General features: G+C 39.4%; 1 protein-coding gene across 1 annotated transcript in view, besides 1 other annotated feature; it reads left to right on the top strand.

The window, feature by feature from the left end:
- VWA8 (von Willebrand factor A domain containing 8) overlaps nt 1-26,732 on the top strand; it is a 394,275-nt gene that overhangs the window by 353,780 nt on the left and 13,763 nt on the right. Inside the window, exons 40-42 of the mRNA NM_015058.2 lie at nt 2,054-2,162; nt 16,565-16,690; nt 19,660-19,818. Of these exons, the coding sequence (NP_055873.1) occupies nt 2,054-2,162; nt 16,565-16,690; nt 19,660-19,818 (394 nt within the window). The remainder of the gene's footprint in view (nt 1-2,053; nt 2,163-16,564; nt 16,691-19,659; nt 19,819-26,732) is intronic.
- Nucleotides 3,103-3,397: a silencer, noted in NCBI's record as "tiled region #5362; HepG2 Repressive non-DNase unmatched - State 9:DNaseU". NCBI's record gives its function as "represses a minimal TATA promoter and a strong SV40 promoter by Sharpr-MPRA in HepG2 cells {active_cell/tissue: HepG2}" and the evidence as "EXISTENCE:reporter gene assay evidence [ECO:0000049][PMID:27701403]".

Genomic DNA, 26,732 nt, shown 5'->3' with positions numbered 1-26,732 from the left:
CCTTGGCATGTCACCTCAAGATACAACCATTCAGATATTATAGTGGCCTTGTCTGTATTTACCTTTTAATAGTCACTGTTTTCAAAGTGCCATCCAGCAGCACTTATTGAGTGCCACTGTGTGCCAGGCAGGTATTGTGGTAGGTACTGGAAGTTCAGTGGAAAAATAGAACATGGTCCTTCTCCCTGAGGAATAGAATAGAAAACATCAGAGTACATCCCATGTAATAAAAGTATTTTTCATTAAATTTTTGGTTCAGTTATCCTATATACATACATGCATTTGTGTATACAAGATCTCAATGTAAAACATTTCCTACTATGGAAAGAAAAATTTGAAAACACCATAACAGAGGGCAACAGGCCTATCTATTAAAGCAATAAAGTATGCGAGTTTCATGGTAGATGTCTGTATAGGGCACATGAAAAGGGAATGGCCAGCTTTATGCAAGGGCTCAAGCAAGACTTCAAAGGATGTGGACTTTGAGCTAGATCTTGAAACCTAAGTGGGTATTATCCAGTGGGGTGATAGGGCAGGAATGTCAGTCTGCCCCATGGTAGTCTAGGCCTAGCATTACATAATTGTAATAAGCCTCTGGCGCTCTCCCCCATGGTGAATGGATTTTTCCCAGTGCTCAACCTGACAGGGAGGAATACAGAACATTTATTCTCATTCAGTATTTGAGGTTTCTGTTTTAGCTCAAGGTGATAAAAAATACACATTAGATAAGAGTTTCAGCAATACACCTAGGATTCATATCTCCAACATTGCATGCATATACATAACACACTAGTTTAGAAGATTATGCTATGCTTGGGCTTTTGAGATATGCACTTATTATTCCTTGTCCTAATATCAGTACCTTTTATATTTATAGTAATTTATAGAAATGTATTATTAAGTTAATGTATTATGGATACAACACTGTAAAACCCAAGGGAGTTCACTCTGAACTTTCTACTGACGGTTTAAGATGCTGCATTTTAAGTAATGCTGAGTTGTATTTTTATTTCAGTCATTCATTTCTACTTATTTTGAGCACCCATTATATGTTAGGTTCCATGCTAGGCACTGTAAAGATAAAGATGAGAAAGACTCAGCCCTTACCTAAAGGAGTATAGAGCCTAGTTGGGGAGACAGGAGGCAGATAGTTACAGCATGGAGAGCAAATTCTCTGAGGGAGGAATGAAGTGAGATAAGAGCACAGAAGAAAGACCCGGGGATCAGAGCAGACTTCCTGGAGGAGGCAATCATTGACTTGAGTCTTGAAGAGTAAGTGGGAGTTATTAGGCAAAGTCAGGGGAGGGACACTCCAAGTGGGAGAGAAGCACTTGCAGGGCATGTGATGTGTACGGGGAGCTTCTAGTGTGCTGGTGGGGCTTCAGTGAAGCAAATGATAAAAACTGATAAAAAGGAGCAGCATACTGGGAAGATAGAATTTCAAAGCCACAATAATATTAAAATACAATTGTCCTGTTTAAATTACACTGTCAGCAATTTTAGAAAACTCTCACATAGGGATACATAGCAGCACATTAACTTACATTCTTTAGGCTTGAACTGTTATCTTGGTCAACCAAATACATGATCTCGATCTTAAAAAGCAACCCATGGGAACCCTCTTAGGAATCTGCCACATGAACTGATCGGCTGCAAACATCACAATATGGCTTTGGGATATAGCAATGGTGTGTACCACAAAGCCAATTCATACTGGCTCATGAGAGTCAATTGTGCACATTTTTTTCCAACTCACTGTTCATAGCTTGTAACTGATCATGGTGGCAATGTTTACATCATGGAAATCAGCAAACACTACAAATCTAGGACTTTTTTCTTGTCCTAGTTTGTTAACCATTTACTAGCACACTACTGGATGTTACCTCCTTTGAATCTGGAAGCACAGCTGGAGACATCACTTCTTGCCTTTTCTCCTCAACATGAATCTGAGTTTCCAAGGAGTTTGCTAAAGTTCCAGCAGGAGGCGAATGGAAGTAAAAACCCACATATACGTGATTTAAGCTGTTAACTTTTTATACTCTTCTGATTTCAGGCTAAAGGAGATCCAAATGAGTGAATACGATGCTGCAACCTATGAAAGGTTTTCAGGTGCTGTTCGGCGACAGGTGCACTCCCTCCGAATCATCCTGGATAATTTACAGGTAATCTTCTACTTATGGACCAAGAAAATAACCTGGGCCCAAACCTGGACACATTCCTAAAGTCTTGGAGAAAATTATCTGAACCCTAATTAGCCAGTCCGAAAAAATGTCTCAGTGTGAAAATGTCTGCATAAAACTGGACTATCCCATGGCTTTCTTTTTGATCATCCAGTGTATGTATTCTGTATGTCCCCTGTCTCCTCCTCTTTCTGCCCTCCCCTTGCTTTCACATTGCCTGCCCTTTTGCAGTTTCACAAAGCTCTCAATGCTGAGGAACAAGTTGGTACTGCTACTCCTCCTGAAAATATTAAGACACTTCAGTATTTCCTAAGCATGACTATTGTTTGGAGATTTCAAATTAGAAATTGTGCTCTGTGGTCAGTTTGCACAAATAATTTAGGAGGGGCTGAGTGTTCCTTAAAATCAGAAACAAAATCAGATTTTTTGTCTAAAGAGAAAGCAAAGCCTCATTTCAGGACAAAGGAAGAAGGTTGGGAGCCAAGCTGTGCCCTGTTTCTCCATTCTACTCTGGAATCTTGTGTTTCTTTTCCATGAAGTATTTCAAGGTGATTGCCTTTCCCTTTTTGGTTCTTATTTGTAATTGTCCTTCTGGGGGAAGTTTTATTATTTTTGCTAAGTATTGGGGATTAGAACTTCTGTGATGCCGTTTTTAATCCACCATTTTAACCCAAAACTCTGGAAAAGCCTTATTTTTTCAAAAGATCTAATCCGTATCCAGAGATTAATAAAAGTTCTGTCATTTCCAGGAGGAAAGATCTTTATAATAATTAAACAGATGTCTAATTTCAAAATCCAAGAAATGTAAAAATTAAACCATGTACTTTAAAAAAAATCTATATGCAGTTATTTAGGATAAAACAGCATAAGATTTTATATAAACTATATGTGAACAACATGATATTGAATGATTGGATCTTCTTACATAGTCACTCATTTGACAAGTGTTCCTTTCCCTGGACATTGAGAGCACCAGGACACTGCCAGGTTGGCTCTGAGCTTCAGGGTAAGGCAATAGTTGGCTAAGGGCCAAAATGGATGATTCAGAGGAGGTGAGAGTAATGGGAGATGGTGCCTATCCTAAGACTTGAGAATGAGTATGGTTCAGTGATTCACTCACTTCTTAAGTTCTCGATGCACACCAGGCATTAGAGATAGAAAACTAAGATACATCTTCTGCCTTCAAAGAAGGGACTCAAAGTCAACTAAATTTCCTGAGTTCTGTAGAGAATTTTGCACACAATGCTATGAGACGAAATGAGGAAAGGCTTCATGGAGAATGTAATGTTTGAATTTACTCTTGAAAGATGCTAAGGAATTTCCCATGTGCTTAAGGAGTCAGGGCATGTCCAACAGAGGAAGCAGTATGCACAAGTGCACAGAGGTATAGGAGAGCACAGTGAGTTCAGAGAAGGACAGAGTATTTGGTATGGCTGAGAAAAGCACACCCTGGTGGGAGACAGTGGCAAGAGAAGAGGCTGCCAGAGTCGTAGGCACCAGATCCTGAATAGCCCTGGATGCCACAAGAACAGGTAGACAACATTGAGTCCTACCCTGTGGGCAGAAAGAGACCCTTAGAGGATTCACAGTGCTACAAAGGGATATAAGAATACATTTTTAATTGAAGGTATCAGATTCCTCATCTGGTATTAGTTGATGTCTTAATTGGTATTTGTTGAGGACTATGCTATAGTTGCTTTTACAAGCACTATCACATTTAATCCTCAGATCAGTGCTTTAGATAAATGGTATCATGTTTATACAATCAGCCAAAAGATGAAAAGTCAGGTCCACTGCTCTGACTTCTCACAATCACACACAAATGAAGCCTTGGTTAGAATTAGAGTTAGCATCAAGGAATGGCTCTTCCACTAATCACCACAACAGTGAGACCAGTATCGGAAAACAGTGTCCAGTTTTGCTTTCAGCTTTCAAAGAGGAATGAATGAAAACTCTGAAGGTCTCAGGTAAAAGCAACAAGTAAGATTAAATGCATGGAAAACAAAGTAGCACCCATTTTTTAAAAATCCTTAAGGGGGTTGGAGTCAATAACTTACTAAATATCCTCAATGAGAGTAATTATTTCAGGGGAGTTTTTATTATCTTCCTCTGTGGAGATCTAAAAAGAGAAAATAGGCTTAACTAATACCAAGAAAGAGTTTTAAGATATAGGAAAGAAGATAAAAGCAATTTAATCCTTGAATAAGTAGCTAAAATAGATGTAGAACTTCCGTCTTTAGAAATCTTTACAAACAATACCAGCATTATAATAATAGCAAGCATTTACTGAGAATTTACCATGCACCAGGCATTCTACTAGGTGCTTTACATCGTCATTGTCACCAAGATCACCTCCATCATTATTGTCATTCTCTGCAGCCAGACAGCCTGGGTTCTGTAAAATGGGAATGACAGATACCAGTATGTTAGTGAAGAACTCAGATGATATGCTTAAACAATGCCTAGCATGCAGCATTCTCTATAGAAGGATTCACTTCATTGTTACCTTCATTGTACTTGCTAAGATTTATCAGCCTGGATTACAGGCCAGGTACCCAGTCAGGTACTTTACATTCATTGTGCTATTTAACCTCTACAGAAACCAGTATGTATAATTTTCTACATTTGATAGATGAGGAAACATACATTGTGTCAATTCTCATAATCCTGTGAAATATTGGTTCCATTTTTGCCATCTTTTGCCCCCGCTTTATAAATGAGAGACCAGAAGATTAGAAAGATGGTGTAACCTGTCCTGGGCTGTATGGCTAGCGAGGCAGGTGCGGCCCAAAGCTCAGTTCATTATTGTTTGTTAGGGTCTCTTTTCTCTTTTTCCAACTCAACAATTCCATAAAAAGCATATGCTTACATATACTCATAAAACATTTTGCATCATTATCCAAATGCCAACACAGCATTTTTCAAGTGTTTTCCTTATTGAATCTATTTTTAATCCATAGGGGAGTTATTCTCAGGTGGGCCTTCTAGTCCTCCATTTAGGAAGATAGGGCTAGTTTAAAACCTAGCTACTCACCAAGCATGGACACGGCCTTGTGTAGAATATGGAACTTTAGATTGAAAACAAAGCAAGGAACCTTTGATTTGGTCCCATTTTGCCATCTTCTGCCAGTCCTGTGTGGCTCCAGTTGACTAATATCTTCCAGCTGTTTTGAGGTTGCTATGTAATCCAAGTAACCATGGGTGTTTCCTTGGTGAACGGCACAAAGTTTGGCCAGGAACTAGCAAATCATCACTTGAGATGACTTTCCAAAGCACAGCCTCAGGCCCACTCATTGATTCCAGGTGGGATTTGAGGAGCAGGAAATGCTGTTGCCACCCATGTTAATGTCTGCTTTAACATGTGCCTATGTTGCAGTACATGTCTTTCCTCTCGATTAAGATAGCTATCACCGGTGACTTTCCTTGGCTTCTTTGAGTTATTGAACCTTTTCCCTTTTGTGAATCGATTGCATGAATCTTCTCATCAGTCCATAAATACTTCAATTATACTTGGTTCAGAATCTCAATCTCTTATTGCACCATGCATGCTCTAACAAAAGAAAACATCCATTCTTACAAAAAACCACTTGATTTTAATCATATCTTCTCTCCAATGTTTTTCTGATCTATAATCATAATTTCATTCTCAGGCTAAACTAAATTAACCTTTCTCTGATTGCTTTGGCTAGCATGGTATCTCCATGAACAAACAATTATGTTCCTTTTTTCCCCTGTGGTGTTTCAAAATAAGCTTTTGTTCAGATAAATAGTGCTTTGAACACTGATTGTGTAGCACACACTGTGTTTGGCACTGAGGGCACAGAGATTGATAAGATAGTGTCCCTGTACTAAGAAAATTCTGGGCTTGAGGGGCAGAGAAGGCAGACACCTAAAGATCTCATTCCATTTAATATGGTAAGTACCTAGGTAGAGGGAAGCTTAGAATGTGGTGGAGCTCAGAAGAAAAGGATTCAAGGATAGATTTTGAAGGTAAGGGTACATGAGCTGAGTCTTGAGGGACACACAAGTATTAACCAGACAGAGAAGGGTGGAAACAACGCCCCAGAAGAGGGCACAGCACAGACAGATGCATGACACTGTGTGGTCTCAGGCATGAGCTGAGAGCTGGTTCTATCTTCTTTAGGAAGTTTTGTAGCCATGGAGGAGAAAGTTTCAGAGACAAGAGAGGTGGAAGCCAGGAGATTAAATCATGAAACAGTATCAGTTATTCGGGTGAGAAGTGATAGGCACCTGAGCCAGCGTAATTGAAATGAAAATGGAAAGAATGAGACAAATTCAAGAAGCAATTTGGAGGTAGGACAAAAAGACAAGTGACACTGAATGCGAGGGAAGGGAAATGGGAGGTTTTCAAGCCCTGGAGGACAGAAAGAGACACAGGAAGAGGACAGACTTGTGAAGAAAGCAGATGTTTGCTTTGGATGTTATAGTATGTTTTCTCACTATTGGGACACCTATGTAAAAATATCAAGCACGATGTTTAAAGTTTTCAAAACCTGAATTTGGAGTTCAGGAGCAAGGTGAGGACTAGATAGGGTTTCATGTTTATATGGCTATCTGTATATGTATTTTTGTGGTCATCTGAATAGAGGGACAGCCCAAGCCAAAGGAAGATGTGTCAACTAAGGCAAGAGTGCAGAGCAAAGAGAGGGGAAGGGTGAGAACAGCCGAGTCAAGGAACGTCTACATGTCACAGGAGAGCAGCAAAGTGCCAGTTACTCTTTCTTAGCACATCATGAATGGCTCATCACTCAAGACATGGTGTCAGTGTCCAAGAGAGGACAACTTCATCCAGGTGCAGCCTAGAAATATAGTCCTGACTTCTGGGCTGCATGACTATGGGCATCTCTAACTCAGTCTTTGCCAGGTGACCATTAAAATTATTTAAGTAGTCAAAACCTTTACATATTGAAAACCCCACGTCAGGAGAAATTAATGAAGAGCGCTAGTGACACGCAAACAGCTTTGAAGAATTTTTGCTAAATATACTTTGTTGGGACGCCTCTCAAAGACAACTTGAAAACCTTCCTGAGAAATAGCATTATTCATGAGTAACTGCATGAGAGCTAACAGAATGTCACTAACATCCCTTGATTAGAAAGGCAGGAAAAGAAGAAAGAGCCCTAGAACTGGTGAGAAGCAGATCACTTGACCTCCATTTTGTTACTGCCATGCAAAAGCGTTTGAAAGCAGCAGCGCTAGGGAGGCATGGTTGTGGGGGAGGTCTAGGTTTCATGCAGTGGCTACAAGCAGGAAGCTGAAAGGGGAATAGCCCTGGAAAAAGGCCAGACCAGCCCCAACTTATACTTGGCTTGAAGACTAAATCACAAAGGAGCCAAATGCCCAAAGTTGGCCCCATTGCAATGGCTTTTCCAAACAAAATAAGAAATGATGTGGTGATGAAGTTCTCATGCTGGGACTGTCCGCAGTTTCAATTCCTTCCCTGCTGGCATTGTAGATTTAGTTCAACCAGTTTAAAACCTCTCAAGAAGAATTCTAGTAGAAACTAAGTGGAAAGTGAATGCAACCAAGGAGCATCTGTCCAATCTGTTCCTCAACAGTTTTGTATCTCATCATTCGAGAATAAGGACACAGAAAACATAAAATAACATGGGATATATGAAAAGGTTGTGTACTGAGGTGGAATAACAAGCATTTAAGATATAGAAGATGCTGCTGGGATAGAATATTCTTCAGAAAACAAAATTTTTAGAAAACATCTGCTTTGTGTTCTCACAATTCAAAGAAATTTGAAGTATGTGAAATAAGACATAAATTGAAAAGTATCTGGCTAAGAAGCAAGCAGAAATAATAAGGGAATTGAATGCAATAAGGAAAGATAAGAAAACTAAAACTGCACTACCAAAACTCAAATCTACATGAAAAGTAGAAAGAACAGACTCCATCCAGTCTTAAGTCTAAGTAGTAATGTGAACAAAAAAGTTGAAGTTATTCCAGAGGAAATAAAGGGGTAAAAACCATAAGAAAGCTAATTAGTAAAAACAAAGTAGAGAGCTGACATACAGAGCCCTGAGTCGTCCCAACAAATAGAACAGTACATGAAACATGGTAAGTGCTTAGTAAACATATGCTGAATGAACAAATCATATCCCTGTAGAGGAGGCCACTGAAAAATATTCATAAACAATAACCAAAGTAGTAACAAAACCGTACCCAGCTGAAGAAAGGCCTAAGTCTATGGATCAAAAGGACTTTACTAAGTACCATGCAAAATTAACAAAGAGAGAAGCACTCAACACAGCTTCATGGAATTTTAACATTTCAAAAATTAAAAAAAAAAAAATCCTAAAAGCAGAGAAGCAGTTGAAAAACAAGCTATTGTCAGAGAAAGAAAAATTAATTTTACATTAGTTGTCCCTGAAACCTTGAATGCCACAGGATAGTGGAACAAGGTCTGCAGGATTTTGAAGAGACAATTCTTGTGACCCAAGAATTCTGTGCACAGCCAAAGTACAAAGGTGACAGATATTTGCAGATATTCAGAGGCTTAAAATGTCTCTTAAGCACCCTTTTAAAAGATAACTTTGAAATAAATATATATATTTGTATAAATACTCTAGTCAATTAAGAGAGGAATCAAAATTCCTTAAGAATGGGAACCTTGTGATATAAAAGGACCAGCAATGAGCATTAGAAGCAGTTCAACACAAAATCAGGTCTAAATAATTGTGGTAAATATATTTTTTAAAAACTCAAATATCAAGAATCATTCTTTTTAAAGGTATACAATATTAAAAATTATGAATTTAATAAACAGGGCCTAAATTCTCATATTAGTTTTAAAATTAAACAAAAATCAAGATTTTTGATTCTGTTGGTTTTTGGTTAGTTAAATTGGTATAGAGAAGGAATAGAAGAAAGTAAAAGTGTAACAATTTATGTTACATATGGGAGAGGCAAATAGCCTCATTCCTGAAAATCATAAGGGAAATATAAGTTCAATCATGCTTTTTAAAGACTTAAAGTTAACCGTGCTCGTTCTTTCTAATATAGTTCTTACAAATGACAATATATTTTATAAAAATTCCTCTGATTGCTATGTGAAGAAGGAACTGTACAGGAAAAACCTCTTTGGAAAACTGTTTAAAACTGAAGGAAGGAGACCATTTAGGAGGCTGCTGCAGTGCTCTAGGGGAGAGAAAATGAGGACAGGACTAAGGCTAGGCATGGAGATGGTAAGAGATGGTCAAATACTGCTGGGAGTTGAGAGGATTTGCCCTTGGATTGGGTGTGGATGTAAGGGAGTCAAAGATGACTCCTCAGTGTGGGGCCTGAACAACTGGAAGAGTGGGGTTGCCTCTTGCCCTTCACTGAGATGGGGGAGGACTTAGAGAGAACAGGTTTTCTAGGGTGGAATCCAGGGTTGAGTTTTAAACTTGTGAAGTATAAGATGCCTGTTATGTTTGCACACCGAGATGTTCCCAGCTCCTTTTAATTACAAAATATTTAATTCTTGAAGGAAAGACCTGAAATAATTTTAGTTCATAAAAAGTGACTATAGATAGTATAGTGTTACTCAACATAATGATTTAGTTCCACATCACCATCCAAGAATATAAACTCTTCTAATGAGAATCACCATAGATGATTCACCGTTTTCCTTTGCAATGAGATATTACTTCAAGAAACATGAATCCCTTAGAATAAGGTACATATCTCCTCTTTTCTTTCACTATTGAGAGCACCTAGGAACCTAAGCAGATATTTAGTAAAATATTTTTAATGGCTGTACCAATATGTTGAGAACCACAAAATAAAATTTTGTGTTTCCACTGATTAATAGTTTATCTTATAAATTCAATATGAAAGTTTTCCTTAATCCAATAATTATTTGTTTGAGTCATACACATTTGTAGCATAAAAATATATGTTGGTTGAGCATGAAGAGATGTTAAAATAATGGGAGCTAATGTTTAATAAGAGAATCGCTGTTCACAGGTACCCTCTAACATCATTTACAGTTATTCATTCACCCAACAAATATTTCTTGATGATCCTGTAGGCTTTATTCTGTAGAATGTATAAACTCTCTATAACAATTGCTACTTAAGTCTTTTTATTCTCTTCATTAAACAAATTCTGAAGGACTAATATAAAATTGGCTTGATTATAGAGTTTGTAGGTAAAAAAAAAGTCTTGATTAATCATAACCCAAATAAGCAAAGATATAAGATTAATCAGAATGATTTCAGTGCTGAAATCATAAGACAAAGTGTCACAAACCACAAGATGATTGGTTTTTGTCAAGTTTATTTATTCTGTCTTTAGTGCTACAGATGTGTGTGTGTGTGTGTGTGTGTGTGTGTGTGTGTGTGTGTGTGTACTTTCTGGTTAAGCAAGTATTTCCTGGAAAATGAATTAACCAGAATACATCATTCTCTGAGTATTTCAGTGAGTCTAAGTATTCTTTGTGTGAAAGTAATAAAATTATATTTCTTTTTCAGAAAGTCTGTAACATAGACTTTTTACTAATGCAACCTCACTTTATATATAATGAACTCTCATTAGTGTGAATTTATGTATAATACAAAACAGATGGACATATTTACAGGGATACTTTACTTCATGCAATAGGAATATATAACAAAGAACATGTTTGGCCTTTTATTATAAACAAAAGCATATATTTAAATGCAGTAGGAGCTGTTTCAAGAAGTATTTCACTAAGTCTCATAAAATACAGAAGGCTTTATATACACAGTCCAAAACAGTAAATATTTTTATTCAGCCTTCAGTAACTTTCTAAAGAGCTCCCCCTCCAGCCCATTGCCCCCAAGAGCATTCATTCTGACACCTCTTCCTGTTTTAAGTTTCCAAGTATTTGTGGGCTGGCTAGAGGATAGAAAATCAGATTTCTACCCATATTTATCTGCAAGTTACATACTTGAAAACTAATGAACAGTGCTACTATTATAAAAATGTCTTTGTGCCTAATAGTTTTGACTCAAAAGGCTGATACATATGTTTAGTTCTCAAGAACAAAAACTACTGGTTCATGTTCCTAAAAATATCAATGACAAGCAGTACCAAAAGTAATTAATTTATCTGCAAATAAAAATAAAAATGAAGGAGTATACTGTACACCAAAAGAATGGCTAAAAAAATTATTTTAAGCTGTCAATATCAAGTGTTGGTGAGGACAGAAACAAATGAAACCCTTATACTCCGCTCACAGGAATGTAAATTGGGAAAACCACTTTGGAAAACTGTTCATCAGTATACGCTAAAGCTGAACATATCCATACTCTGTGACCCAGCATTTCCACACAACGAAATATGCACATACCTGCTCCAAAAGACATGTTCAGTTATGGTGGCATTATTTTTAATAGCCCCAAACTGAAATCAGCAGAATTGTAGAATGGGTAAATTGTGACAAAGTCATACAATGGAATACCGTTGCAGCACAAAAGAGAATAAAGTTCTGCCACACACAACATGGGTAACTCACAGAGATAATGTTGAGCCACACAAGCCAGAAACAAAAGAGTATATATTGTATGATTTCATATTTATAAAGTTCAGAAACAGGCAAACTTAATTTATAGTAACAGAGGTCAGTATAGGAGTTACCTTTGGCAGGGAGAAGGTAATGTCCAGAACAGGGCACTGGGAGGCTTAGGCGGTGTGGATGATTAAGATTGTGTGTTTACTTTGTAAAAGTACATTCTTAAGATTTGTATACTTTATTACAAGTACTTAAACTTGAAAAGTTAACCCCCAAAAAGAAAGAAAAAGGCAGCAGATTTATTGGAAAAAGTGTTTCCCTCTCCCTTACTCTCACTGCAAATTTTACCAAGTCCTTTTCTTTTATTGGCATATGTAATGGAAACAGTCTTCAAGCTAGAGAGTACCTTAAGGGCAGATAATCATTATGGGAAAAGAAGCAATATCAGCACAAGAAAATTAAGACCTAAAATCCCTGGATTCTTGCATGATGGTGAACAAAACTGAGAGTTACATGTTTTGCTTAATTGCATTACATATCACAGAAAATGTAACAGCTTTCCTTGAATTTTTTGACAGGGCCTAATAGTCCTTCATGGTACTTGAATCAGTCTTCTCAACTTCGTCTAGTTTTAAGCATTCTGTGATCTATTTCATGAAATGTAGCGGTTTCTCCCTCTTTAATTGCATGGCCTGGGACATGCAGTCCTCTAGGAATTTGTCTTCCCAACAAATTTAAACCCAAATTCTTCCCCTTGGGGGAATCTTGCCTTTGTAAATCTTATTGGAAGTGTAGTCATTTCTGCAGCAAAGAATCTTGCTTCGCTTATAGTGTATTTGCATCCTAATGCTCCATTTCTTTGCTCATTATTCTAATTTTCTATATAGTGTAATGTTTTTGAATTGTTTAAGATAATAGTTAGGAATTTTAACCAAAGTTAAAAACAAACCTCAGTTATCAATGGAAATAATTCCGTGAGCTGATGCCTGCTATGCTCCGCCAACATCAGCTGTGTGTCCTCCAGCTACAGCAACCAGGTCACAATTAGTCCCTCTACCCGTCATCTTGACAACTTTTTTTTGCCATCAACTATAAGATATATTCTGGTTTTAGAAACACCAAAATAAAGAGGACAGTAGAATTATTAGTTAGAATTTTAACATTTTTTATTTTCTCTGTGGTAAGATGGTGGGGTTTAAATTTATTTTTACTACAGTTGTGACCTGCATTAGAAATCACAAAAATTAGCTCACACCCATAGTCCCAGCACTTTGGGAGGCTGAGGTGGGAGGATCACCTGAGGCCAGGAGTTTGAGACCAACCTGGGCAATATAGCAAGATCCCCAACTCCACAAAAATTTAAAAATAAAAAATTAACCAGGTGTAGTGGTACATGCCTGTAGTCTCAGCTACTTAGGAGGCTGAGGTGGTAAGATCACTAGAGCCCAGGAGTTCAAAGTTCAAGGGTGCAGTGAGCTATGATCGTACCACTGCACTCCAGCCTGGGTGTCAGAGACCTTGTGTCAAAAAAAAAAAAACAAAAATTACAAAAATGACAATCTATAGCCATTACAGTGGCTCTTTACATGGTAAAAGCATCACTGGTTAATAAAACCATGTAGCAGCTAATGGGATTGGGTAGGGAGTCCTTGGGGTCATTGCCTTCTCAATGTATTTATGAAAACTTGGAAAATCAATGCTTCATGATGACAGTGCCATGGCCAATAAGTAACATGTTATATACAATTTCATTCCAGTTCTAATCCCACATTTCTCTTAAACCCGGCCCAAGAATCCAAGTTCCATGCCACTTTAATGGCTGCTAACCACTGCCACCCTGTTCTCTTTTACTTTCTTCAGTGCTGGTTTTCCCAGTCTAGACTAGTCTGTGAGAGTCTGTCCTCATCTATGAAAGCCATTAGAATCCAGTGCTCTGCAGCTTGGTACCTCCAAGAGTTGTACAATGTGAAGACTGAAGGTACATAAATGGTCATCCACAATAGCATTTCCCAGGATAAATTATCCAGGAAGCCTGAGGATTATCCACACTAGAGAACAGAAATGTTAGGAAAGAAGAGATAAGAGCTAAGTCCCAATCACTGGTGCAGGGAGGGGGCCTGAAAAGGACTGTGCTGTGTGGTCAAGGTTGTCTGTCTGATTCACAGATAGATCAGTAGGAAGAGATTCTAGTAGACTGTGCACATTCCTTCCTCTTGCCACCCGTAGCTGGGTATCTGATCAAGTTTTACATGATAGCTATGCTCCAGAGTGACCCATTTTCCTGAGAGATCATGGGATTCTTGCCAAGAACATAATCTGGAAAGAACATTCTCCCAAGGGTCACATACATGGTAGTTCTTAGAATTAACTGCCCACCAAAATTAATAATCTATATGCTGGTGATGTTTGCATTAATCTATTGGTATTCCAAAATGGTAATTTTGCCCCTGTTTCCAGCAAGGGTATCAGGAACAAGAAAACAATACATACTGTAATACCCAGAATTATATTGTGTGGTGCTTCTTTGTGTAATGGCTGACCTGGCCCTAAAACAGACACCAGCTGCCTGAGGCTTAGTGGCTTTGTATTTCCAACGACAGTGCTATCACATAGCCACCTCCCATGAAACACTGATGGAAGCATGCTTAACTTAAAGTGGACTAAGTTGTCCATATGTGTTTTATCCACTGCAATAAATAATAGTACCAGCTAACACGGCTCACCAGGCTCTTTCTTAGCTGATGCCAAGTAAGATTTTATTAATTTTACAATAGCTTACTAAAGTAGAGACTAGTGTTATCTTCATTTTAGAGATGAAGAAACAAAGATGCCGACAGGTTAAGTAATTTGCTTCAGATCAGATATTGAACAGTGGTGAAAGAACAGTTAGAACCAGGCTGATGCTGGAACACATAATCTTTTTTTTTTTTTTTTTGGAATTAACAGAGAAGGGCTTTTAATAACACTATTATAAATATTTTCAAGGATTTTAGGGAAAATATGAACATAATGAAAAGAGAAATGGAAACTATTGAAAAGAAAAACAAATAGAACTTCCAGAGCTGAAAGCTATAACGTCTTTTTTTTTTTTTCAAAACAAATAAGAGTAAAGATCTTTACTAAATTTATTCATTCCTTGGTGTCAATGCTTCCTGAATTTTTCTTTTTATTTTATTTTATTTTATTTTTTTTATTATTATACTTTAAGTTTTAGGGTACATGTGCACATTGTGCAGGTTAGTTACATATGTATACATGTGCCATGCTGGTGCGCTGCACCCACTAACTCGTCATCTAGCATTAGGTATATCTCCCAAAGCTATCCCCTCCCCCCTCCCCCCACCCCACAACAGTCCCCAGAGTGTGATGTTCCCCTTCCTGTGTCCATGTGATCTCATTGTTCAATTCCCACCTATGAGTGAGAATATGCGGTGTTTGGTTTTTTGTTCTTGCGATAGTTTACTGAGAATGATGATTTCCAATTTCATCCATGTCCCTACAAAGGACATGAACTCATCATTTTTTATGGCTGCATAGTATTCCATGGTGTATATGTGCCACATTTTCTTAATCCAGTCTATCGTTGCTGGACATTTGGGTTGGTTCCAAGACTTTGCTATTGTGAATAGTGCCGCAATAAACATACGTGTGCATGTGTCTTTATAGCAGCATGATTTATAATCCTTTGGGTATATACCCAGTAATGGGATGGCTGGGTCAAATGGTATTTCTAGTTCTAGATCCCTGAGGAATCGCCACACTGACTTCCACAATGGTTGAACTAGTTTACAGTCCCACCAACAGTGTAAAAGTGTTCCTATTTCTCCGCATCCTCTCCAGCACCTGTTGTTTCCTGACTTTTTAATGATTGCCATTCTAACTGGTGTGAGATGGTATCTCATTGTGGTTTTGATTTGCATTTCTCTGATGGCCAGTGATGATGAGCATTTTTTCATGTGTTTTTTGGCTGCATAAATGTCTTCTTTTGAGAAGTGTCTGTTCATGTCCTTTGCCCACTTTTTGATGGGGTTGTTTGTTTTTTTCTTGTAAATTTGTTTAAGTTCATTGTAGATTCTGGATATTAGCCCTTTGTCAGATGAGTAGGTTGCGAAAATTTTCTCCCATTTTGTAGGTTGCCTGGAACACATAATCTTAACTACTACTTTAGTTTGCATGCATAAAAACATCTTAGCTATTCTTCCCACTCATTAATGTAAATATAGTAGTTGGCTGTAATAAGCATATGCCTTGATTGGGATACTATAATTCTTTATCATTTTACTGCCGTAAAATTAGTCTATCTGGCATAATTGTAAGTTATTGTAGCAAAGTATTATGTGAAAAAACTTTTAGAAAAGTAATCCAGAAGATTTCTGAAAATAGATAACCAGAAAGACTTGTGGGGTACAAAATGTTCACATACTATTGTTTTCAGCTATTTCCATTTGCACTCTAAGTCCCAGAGAACTTGAGTAACAAACTCTTTACCAAAAGGTAGAATTCTAAAGGTCACATTTTCTCTGGGCTTACAGACAATGTTAACAAATTCAAGCTGATTATTTTAACTAATAAACTTTTGAGAAGCACCGTGACAGAAAATCTGTAAGAAATGCGCCCCCATTATTATATTTCCAGATACTGGACATCTCTCCAGGGACTCATTTGCATACCATCTTTCATTCATTTTATTGTTCCATATGTTGAAAGAATTAAAACGGACAAAGGGCATTTATTTGTCAGCAGAGCAGAAACCACTTCATTTATATGACTGTGTTCATGCAGAACCATCACTTACTGAAAAGATCCCAGGTGTGTTTCCTGTTATTCATGCACAAAGTATGTCAGAGACTCTGCATAACTAATTAAGGCTTTGTGTGTGTATGTGTGTCTTTTGTAGGCTAAAGGTAAAGAAAGACAATGGCTAAGACATCAAGCTACTGGAGAATTAGATGATGCCAAGATCATTGATGGGCTGACTGGAGAAAAAGCCATCTACAAACGTCGGGGTGAGCTGGAGCCACAAGTAAGTCATGGTGAACTGCTAGCCTCAGCTCTGCATAGTCTAGCCCTCTTTACAGAAACTTGCTTTCGTGAGTTGTGTCAAAATATCACAAATCCTGAATATGGTAACCAAGGAAAGCATTATGTTAAAAAAAAAAAAAAAGAAGAAGAAGAAGAAAAACTCCATAAATATTATACTATTTATTATTCAACTCAAGGTCCCAGCAAGAAACATAAGGCATGCTCAAATTAGGTAATTTAAGAAACAGTCAGTACAAAGACTATTTACAAAAATAAGGGTGGGGTTTAGGAAAATCAAAAATAAACAGTGCAGTAACCCAGGGATAGCAACAGCAGGGATCTAACTCACTCTGAGGCCTAAAAGGGCAGAATGAGACAGCAGTTCCTGGAACCTGGAGAAGGTGGTTGATGGAGTGGTGGCCTTCAGCAGAAGGGGAGCCAACCCATGGGCAACAGCAGAGAGGGGGCCAAGGGAATAAATACTCCACCCTCACCCCCTGACCTCCACCAGTGCCTCCCATGAGCAGAACCCACTGGGAGCCAGCAGCCAAGAGGCCAGCTGATGTGATTGTAGGGGCCAAGGGAAAACTTCCCCTTCGCCCTCTGAAGGTTCTCTGAAAATCACCTCACAAAAGGCACATTAATAGGAGAAGAGGCATACAAATGTATTAATGTGCACCGGGGTGAAACCAAGGGTGAGTCCCCCTCCACACAGTGAAGTACAGATGCTTATGTACCCTTCTTCTTAAGGGAAAAGGAGATGGAGAAGTGTAGATGATTTTACGGGGGTAGTAAATGGTTTTAGGGCAATTCAGTGGACTTGAAGAGCACACAGTGGCCTGGGACAGAGTCTGTTGGGCCCACAAAGCAATGGTTTGTGACCGAAGTCTGTCCAGGTGTGTTGACAGACTTCAGCCTTTCTTCCTGTGATATGAGTTCAGTTGATGAAAACTCAGGGAAGGGCCCAGAGTAATGGTTTTCTTCTTTGGAGCTCTGAACTTTAGACAGTTGAAGAAACTTCAGAGAACAAATTATCCAGTGCTTTGTGGGGAGAGGGAGGAAGGTCAGTGAGACCTTGATGCTGCTTCTTCAGTTCAGCATGTCCAAGCACCATATTTAGAGGGTATCGATTTCTGAGCTCCAACACGGATTGTCCACACAGATCAACTCCCAGGACACAGAGCAGGTGCCCTGGAGGGGAAACTGAAGACACCTGGTGTGTCTATTAAGCCTAGAGAAACCTTCAAGTGAAAACAATAAAACAACCTTAGTGATTTTCTACTGTTCTCTTACTTTAAAGATCAGTGTCCATCATATAACTGAAAAAAAATATAGAAAATAAGAACGTCTCCCTTAAGTAACTATAATTGTAGTATGTAAAGTTTTAGACAGCCATAAATTTAAAATATTTGCAATGTAATAGCAAAACAAAATGATGACAGGATGAAATATTGAGTCTCTTGGTGAGCTCTGTGATCTCCTGTATTCCTGGGTAACCAGAATTGCTGAGTCGCCACTGAGAGCTGGGGGTGCAGTGACTGGTAGGGGGAAGGGAGAGTCACTCCTTTTAAATATTTATTTAGAGAGGATCTGGTGATTTGGGGAGTTCTTATTTCTGTGTCATTGGTATGAGTCAACAACTGCTTTCTTTACTGAATCATTGTGGTCAACAAATGTGTTTGGATACATCTGAAATTGTGAGTAGTCATGGAAGCATATGTATAAGTGTTCTTAATTTGGGCAGACTCAACAAGTTTTTAAGAAATATGTTGAATTTGCCTCAAACCATTACACTCTCAATACCCACCGTGTTTTCTTGAAATTACTAACTCTGCTCATTATTTTTTATATTTAATAACAGCAAATATTTAATAACAGAATAATCTGGAATTTTTCTTCTTCCTTTTTTTTTTTTTTTCTAGAGACAGGGTCTTGCTTGTTGCCCAGGCTTTAGTGCAGTGGCACAATCATAGCTCACTACAGCCTCAAACTATTGGGCTCAAGTGACCCTTTCAGCTTACCCAGCTGAGTAGCTGGGAATATAGGCACATAGCACCACCCTAGCTGATTTGTGTATTTTTTTGTAGAGATGAGTTCTTGCTGTGTTGCCCAGGCTGGTATTGAACCCTTGGCCTCAAGCAGTTCTCCCACCTTGGCCTCCCAAAGCACTGGGATTACAGGCATGAGCCCCTGCACGCAGCCTTCTTCTTTTTTATCGTCAGCAAAACTAACAAACTTTTTCTTAAAATCTGCAAATTGGCAGTCGTGGGTCTAAAATCAAACTTAATCTTGTAATCTTAATTGACAGTTGTTTCTAGAACAATTTGATGTCACTTTTATGCTTTCAAACTGCCAAGAAAAGAAAAGCACTAATTCAGTAATGTGGAAGGAAGAGAAGATGTGCAGCTTAGTAAACACAAAAGTCGTTTTTAAAATCTTTTCTTTAATTTCTTTGCCAGACCCCCATCACATAACTTTGTTTTAGGAATCTGACATTACCTGTGGCCTGTGTGGAGAATAATTTTCAGGTCACTACCCAATACGTACAAGTAAAATTGACATGGGCTTCCCTCCAAAATAACACAAACTCTTGCTAGAGTTACTGACTCTGAGGCATGAAGTGAAAATGACATGTCATTCCAGATTATTATTTTTAAGTCATCATATTATTTTTAAGGCATCAACCTCGGTAAGTCAACTTTACTAGAGTGAGCTTTAAAAGGACTATATTCCAAAGGAAAATATTTTCCATGTGGCCCCAACCATTAGCACAAGTCTGAAATTCTGTTTACTGCAGTACAACCCATAGATGCCTTGCTACCTGCTAGGACAGCCTTGTGCAGGGCTGAGCCTATGGCTGGTCTGCCCATCTCGGGGCTGGCACGCTGGAGCTTCTGTGAGATCCCCAAGACAGCCACCAGGGGAAGTTTGCCAGTTCACAAACGGCTTTTCTGTTATTCCTTCCCTCAGCTTGGCAGCCCACAACAGAAACCCAAGCGTCTGCGCCTGGTGGTAGATGTGTCTGGTAGCATGTACCGTTTCAACAGGATGGATGGCCGGCTTGAGCGCACAATGGAGGCTGTGTGTATGGTCATGGAAGCCTTCGAGAACTATGAGGAGAAGTTCCAGGTAATGACATGAACTAAGAATAATGAGAGGCATCATTGACCATGATGATGGATAGGTGGATTCAAACTCCATCCAGAGTGAATGAAAATCTTCATCCTCTCACCAGCTCATTCATCAGTGCAGAGAAAGTGAAGCTTTTGTTTTATCTGAAGTAGTAATTGTAAAATAACTCCATAATTTAAAAGTCTGATTACTACAGAAGAAATGCTGCAGCCATGATGTTAGAAAAAAATGAGCTGCTTAGAAGCAAAAGTCTGTTCCCAGACTCCTCAGAGCCTCCTGGCCTTATCCCAGTTCCCCATACCCACCCACTCTTGCCCCATCACTAGCCAAGCAGCCTTCCAAAGTTTGAGTCCACCCTGAAAGCTTCAGTATCACGTTCCATTTCCACATGGGCAGGGGTTATACAGTCATTGGTGTCTCCCCAGCTAACAATGATGATGATTATCCCAGGAGAAAAGCAGGTTTCCATTTCAACTGTTTCCATTTTGGTATTCTTAGTTTGCTGCACACCCTCCATTTTAGAAGTCTAGCATGGTGAAGGGACCCCCAATGCTGCTGTGTTACTGCTTGATATGAGCCTATTAATCCTCTCTTAATCAGCCACAGAGAGCACCTGCACTTCTGGCCCTTACCAGAGCAAACAACCTTGAATTCAGTCACATGCCATGTAATTATTATCAAAAGTTCAATCATGAGAAATGCTGTATGCACGTGCAGATATGCATGAAGGACACACAGTCCATAGACAGACTAGATTTTATTACGGATCAAACATGTCCTACAGAAATCAGTGATCTTAGATTGCTATTAGGCTTGACATCCCACATGCACCCCAGGATTGCTTCCCTGAGTTGTGTCTCTGTGTTATGAGGTAGGCAACAAGAAACAGATTGATGAAACCCATCACTTCAGGTACTTTAGGCCTATTATTAAGGATACTGCCCCCCCTGAATTTCCCAGAGCCCCTTGTGTGAAGCTCTACGTGAGGAATTCCTTTTAGAATTAAGTGGAAGAAGAAGGGCAGCTTCAGCTAATGAATGCTATGGGTTGCCGGGCTCTGTCCAAGTACAGGATACAAATACAAATAAGACATGGACTTTCACCGTGGGGAGTAGCTTTGTTTCCCTTGAAGAACTGAAATGTGTTTCCCCTTGTGATTAGTGAAAGCCATGGAGCTGCTTAAGATTCCCTCTTGGTTTTAGTTGCCAGGAAGCTCAGAGCTAAAATCAAAGACCAGCTATGACAACTTTGTTATGTCTCATGGCTTGCAGACCAGTGTTCGACTTTTTCCTTTTCTTCACCCTTGCTCCCTTCAGGTATAAGTTTTCCTTGATTTTTTTTTTTTTATGCTTTATGGGTTTATAGAAAATGTTTATTTTAAAATATTTTAGGTCCTTTCTAGTATGAGATAGATTATAGTTCTTAAATCACTTGGACCATTGATGACTAAAGAATTTTTAGACATCTATTGTATCAGCATAAATACCCATATCCTACCTAATGTATTAAAACCTTTGAGAGTTGCCAATATTTGGATCAGTCCCTTCTCCTGTTTTATGGATCTTGAATTTCAGTGTTCCTCGGCTCTCTTTGAGCTATATGGAGGTTTTTTTTTTCTTTTTCTTTTTCTTTTTTTTTTTTTTTTAAGACGGTGTCTCACTCTGTCGCCCAGGCTGGAGTGCAGTGGTGTGATCTCGGCTCACTGCAACCTCTGCCTCCTGGGTTCAAGCGATTCTCCTGCTTCAGCCTCCTGAGTAGCTGGGATTACAGGTGCCCGCCACCACGCCTGGCTAATTTTTGTATTTTTAGTAGAGATGGGGTTTCACCATGTTGGTCAGGCTGGTCTCGAACTCCTGACCTCGTGATCTGCCCATCTCAGCCTCCCAAAGTGCTGGGATTACAGGCGCAAGCCACCGCACCTGGCCCTATAGGGAGATTTTAACCCAATGTAGACCATAGCAAATGTACTACCATTAAAATTGGCAGATTCATAGTTAGCTTGAATAAAATCTCCTGTTAGAAATAGGATTTCTACGTTTTTGAGGGCAGAGCTGCTCTGACATGTGAAATACTCCCAAGTTTTTAGAAAGAAAATTCATTAGGAATTAACCAACAAATTGGTTGACACAGCTCCCTCCCCAGGACTGGGTAAAGGATGAGACAGGGAAGAAGGTGGCAAAGTTACTAGTGTTCAGGGTGCCATTCCGATGCCTCCAGGGAGGTGGTATGATTGTCACGCAGCAGGCTGAGTATTTCATTGCATCTCACGCAGCCGAGTGTATAGAAAGATCTCCATTTATTCAGTTCTCACTTATAAAAGTCTATAATATGGAAGAACTATTAATGAAACTAGACCTGTCACACACAAAAAAGGAACAATATCAAGGAAATGAGCATTTCACAAGATGTTTCATTTTTTTTTTTTTATTGACAGTTACAAACCAAACTGTTACCATATGACCTGCTTGCTGGATGTCAGTTAAATTCCGCGAAATTACAAACATTACCTGAGCACTTCCTAAGAGTAGAGCACTCTGCTGGGTAGCCCAGTGAGGGAGATGATGAAAACTACTCATTCTGATAGAAGGTTCGGTGAGCAATGTGTGAGCAGAGCTGCTTCTTCACACGTGCCTCTGTGGGTATCATCCCTAAAACAGTATTTTGCTAATACTCTCTTCAGTTGCCACAGTAGTATAAAGAATTTCCTCAGTCTTTATCAGCACAACCACAGATATATTGAGAAGACAACCATAGTTAACATCTGACTGAAAAATCCAAGTGAAATTGTAGCAAGACACCAAGATAAAATAAATTTTTCAGGCCTTGAAGACATTTTTTATGCCATTAAATTCTTAACAAGAAGCACGTTAATGGTTTTAGTCCCATCATATTCACTACAGTTACATTAGAGCTTTATTTAAGACCATAGAAAGTCTTAAGACCCCAGTGTATTAAAATCTTTCCAACCAAAGGAAGAGACCTTAAAACATCACAAAACAAGCTCTTTGAGCCTCTTTCAGAAAAATTGATACCTGGGTGAGTGTCTGGAGGGACAAGGTGGACCCAGCAAGGCATATGAGTCCTGTTCCTGCAAACTCCTCATCGTGTCCACAGACTTTAGAACTGGGGTCACCTCGGAGGCCATTTACTCCACCATCCTCATTCCACAGACAGAAAGCCCAGGCCCAGACACAGGTGGATTTTCCCCAAAGTTGGAAGACTAGTAGGAGATAGTAGCATAGAGCCCAGGACTCTTATTTGTTTTCCCTTTTTTTTGTTTGGTTTCATTTTTAAACTTTCTCCTTTATTTCCCAACTTTTTAATTTGAAAAATTTTAAACCTACAAAAAAAGTTGAAAGAAAAGTAAAACCCATGTGCCCTCACTTAGGTTCACTAATTGTTACCGTTTTGCCTCACTTGCTTTGTTTCTCTCCAAATATTTACAGTACTCTCTCTACCCCCGCCCCCAAATCATTTGAAAGTAAATTATAAGCAGCATAATGCTTTACCTCTAAATACTTCATTATATGTCTCCTAAGAGTAAGGACATTCTCTAAAAAACTTCAATACCATTATCATGCCTAAGAAAATTATCAGTAATCCCATACTGTCTTATAATATCCAACTCAAATTCAATTTTATCAGTTGTCCCAAAAATATCTTTTATAATTGTCCCCTCTCCCTGCTGTCCACCTAGGATCCAAAGTTCACACCTTACTTTGCCTCTTTTAGTCTGGAACAGCCACCTCCCCTACCACTGCATTTTTTTGCTTTTCATGACAGTCACTCTTATGACCCTCTCATGAGGGTCCAGGCCAGTTGTCTTATAGATTCTTTTTTTGTTTGTTTTTTTTTTTTTTTTTTTTGAGATGGAGTCTTGCTCGGTCACCCAGGCTGGAGTGCAGTGGCGTGATCTCGGCTCACTGCAGCCTCCGCCTCCCAGGTTCAAGCGATTCTTCTGTCTCAGCCTCCCGAGTACCTAGGACTACAGGCATGTGCCACCACGCCCGGCTAATTTTTGTATTTTTAGTAGAGACAGTGGTTTCACCATATTGGCCAGGCTGGTCTCAAACTCCTGACCTCATGTTCTGCCCGCTTTGGCCCCCCAAAGTGCTGGGATTACAGGCGTGAGCCACCGCACCTGGCCCTAGGCTGTTTGTTATACTGGATTTTCTGGTTGCTTTCTCATGGTGCCATTTAACTTGTCCCAATATCCCCTGTATTTCCAAAACTCCTAACAGGCCTTCTCTCCATATGGGACTTTGTATCATCTTCCTACCGCCCCTGGCAATGTGTCTGAGATTTAAGTACCCACAAGCCACCCAGTCTCTGCTAGGGCTCCCCAGGCCAATGCGCAGGGCAGGAAGGAGGTAAGATGGAGCTCCTTACATTCTGTAAGAGTTATTTCTACTTATAATTACAGTTGTCCCTTGGTATCTATGAGGGATTGGATCCAGGATCCCTCTCAGATACTAAAACCTGTGGATGCTGAAATCTTCCAGCTGGCCTTCCTCTCCATGGGTTCCACATCTGCATATGCAAAGGGCTGACTATAAATGTTTGGGGGTATATAGGTGATTGGTGCACGCAGCAGAAAGTGTAACAGGTATAAAAGGAGGAAGAGTGAAGAGTAAGCCACTGCCCGCCCCCTCTCAGCTCCCAGCTCCTCTCTCCAGTACAACCACTATTAGTGGAATTATCAGTCTCTTCTCAGAGATATTTGATGCACATACATTCAGTGGCTGTGTACCATGCATTCTGTTCTGTATCATTATGTTATATGATCATATTCAACTGAATACTTTCATTTTCTCATTTGTGAAAGGCATAAAGGGAATAGGAATAACTAACAAAAGGATTTAATTTACTCAGAAAAAAAAATTATGCATGAACAGAAGACAGTTTGAGGAGCTCCTAGAGAAAAATATATATTCCATAGCCCAGAATGGCATCACACATGGGGTCATTAGGAATTCAACAGTGTGATCTGAGACTCCCCAGCCCCAGTTCCAGACAGTTCTTAATGTTGTCTTCCTGCAGTTATCCCTCAGTTGTAAAGGTGTCTGGTCTGTATTTGCTTTGAAACCTTCAGAAGCCGCTGGCCTGGTCTGTGCTCTGGACTCTCCCCATCTCTCTTGGCGTCTGCTTTGTGTTTTGCTTGGCTTGAGTGCAGCTCCTGAGCCGTGGGTCATTACAGTCTAGGTCCCGGAGGCTCATTTGGAGTCAGCCTCTATTTTTTATTCCACATTATCATGACCTGTGCTAAACCACAGGGACCCTAGAGCAAGAATTACTGAGAAGGAAAGGTAATTCAGTGGCAAGACACATCTCTAAGCCATTTGGAGTGTTTAAAGTTTCTCATAATTGCTCCACCAACTGAATTCAGCTATTCCCGGGAATAGCATTCACAGTAGGTCACTGAAGACTAGCGCAACATCATTTGCTTATAATCAGCATAAGCTCCTCTACTCTTGTAGTCAGCATCATTCTTAGTGTTCATGTAGTGCTTCAAATTAAAGTGAAAAGTAGAATAGTACTGTTTTTGTGAACCGTTGTCTTTTCATCAAGAAGCATTTTTTTCCTTAACCTTCATTCCAATTTGTTCCTCATGCTTTCTCCAAGCTCCTGGGAATGTTTTCACTGTAATCTTGAAATACACCTCCTTTTCAAAGGCTCTTAATGGCTTAATTTTTTTTCAAAGTACTCAATAATACCAAAGTTAGGTAACTATTTCTCCACTAAGCACTCAAATAGTGGGACCAGAAAAGAGATTTATTTCATTATTCAGAAGTTGCACTTGGAAAAAAAAAAAGAAACTTAAACGTATTGTTTCTGTGAAGGCATATAAACCATATCCTAGGGCAGTGGTTTTCTAACAGTGTAACAAGAACCTTTGAAGGATGTTTGGCAGTGGAGGGGGGCAGTGAGTAGGCAGCACTTTGTGCCCCATTGCCCTCCATCCCCAATTCAACTACAACAATTTCACATGTATAGATAATGCAGGATGTTTCATAAGCTGGGCTTTTGTGCAGTATTTCATTTGAAGGAAGGGTTCCACTGCTAACAAATTTTTAAAGGAAAGGAAGAATTAGAAAGCCATTGTGTTAGGGATTATGTAATGTACTGGATTATTATTTCTCACAGGCTCTGAGGGCTTTCTTTCTGGAAAAGGTGCCATTGACCCTCTGATTTAGATGACTCACTCTCGGCCGGGCGCGGTGGCTCACGCCTGTAATCCCAGCACTTTGGGAGGCCGAGGCGGGCGGATCACGAGGTCAGGAGATCGAGACCATCCTGGGTAACACGGTGAAACCCCGTCTCTACTAAAAAAATACAAAAAATTAGCCGGGCGAGGTGGCGGGCGCCTGTAGTCCCAGCTACTCCGGAGGCTGAGGCAGGAGAATGGCGTGAACTCCAGGGGGCGGAGCCTGCAGTGAGCCGAGATTGCGCCACTGCACTCCAGCCTGGACGACAGCGAGACTCCGTCTCAAAAAAAAATAAAATAAAATAAAATAAAATAAAATAAAATAGATGACTCACTCTCCCTTGACAGAAGAAAACAAGGCATTAGGTGTTCCTAAAACTAAGAGAAGCAGGCTTTCTCATTACAATTCTTAAACATACCATTAAGTTTATATAGAATTTGGGGGGTAGGAATGGCCTTGGAAATTATTTTCACCAACCTTTTTGTTTTACAGAAGAGAAAACAAAGATTCAAAGAGGTTCAATGCTTTGCCCAAGGTCACACCGTTACAGTGCAAAGCCAGCACTTCTGACTTCCACTTCAGGGCTCTTAGTTGATGTTTCATCCCTGTTTCTTATAGCTGTTTTATCTCTGTTCAATTTGATTTTTTTAAACTGTAATTCAGGAGCAAGTGTATCATTTATGTAAGGTACTCTGTCTTCTCCTA

The sequence above is a fragment of the Homo sapiens genome, chromosome 13 (assembly GCF_000001405.40).
Source record: "Homo sapiens chromosome 13, GRCh38.p14 Primary Assembly".
In the NCBI taxonomy this organism is placed as follows: domain Eukaryota; kingdom Metazoa; phylum Chordata; class Mammalia; order Primates; family Hominidae; genus Homo; species Homo sapiens.
The sequence above is the reverse complement of the archived record's forward strand: the minus strand, read 5'-3'. Positions and strand labels throughout refer to the sequence as shown.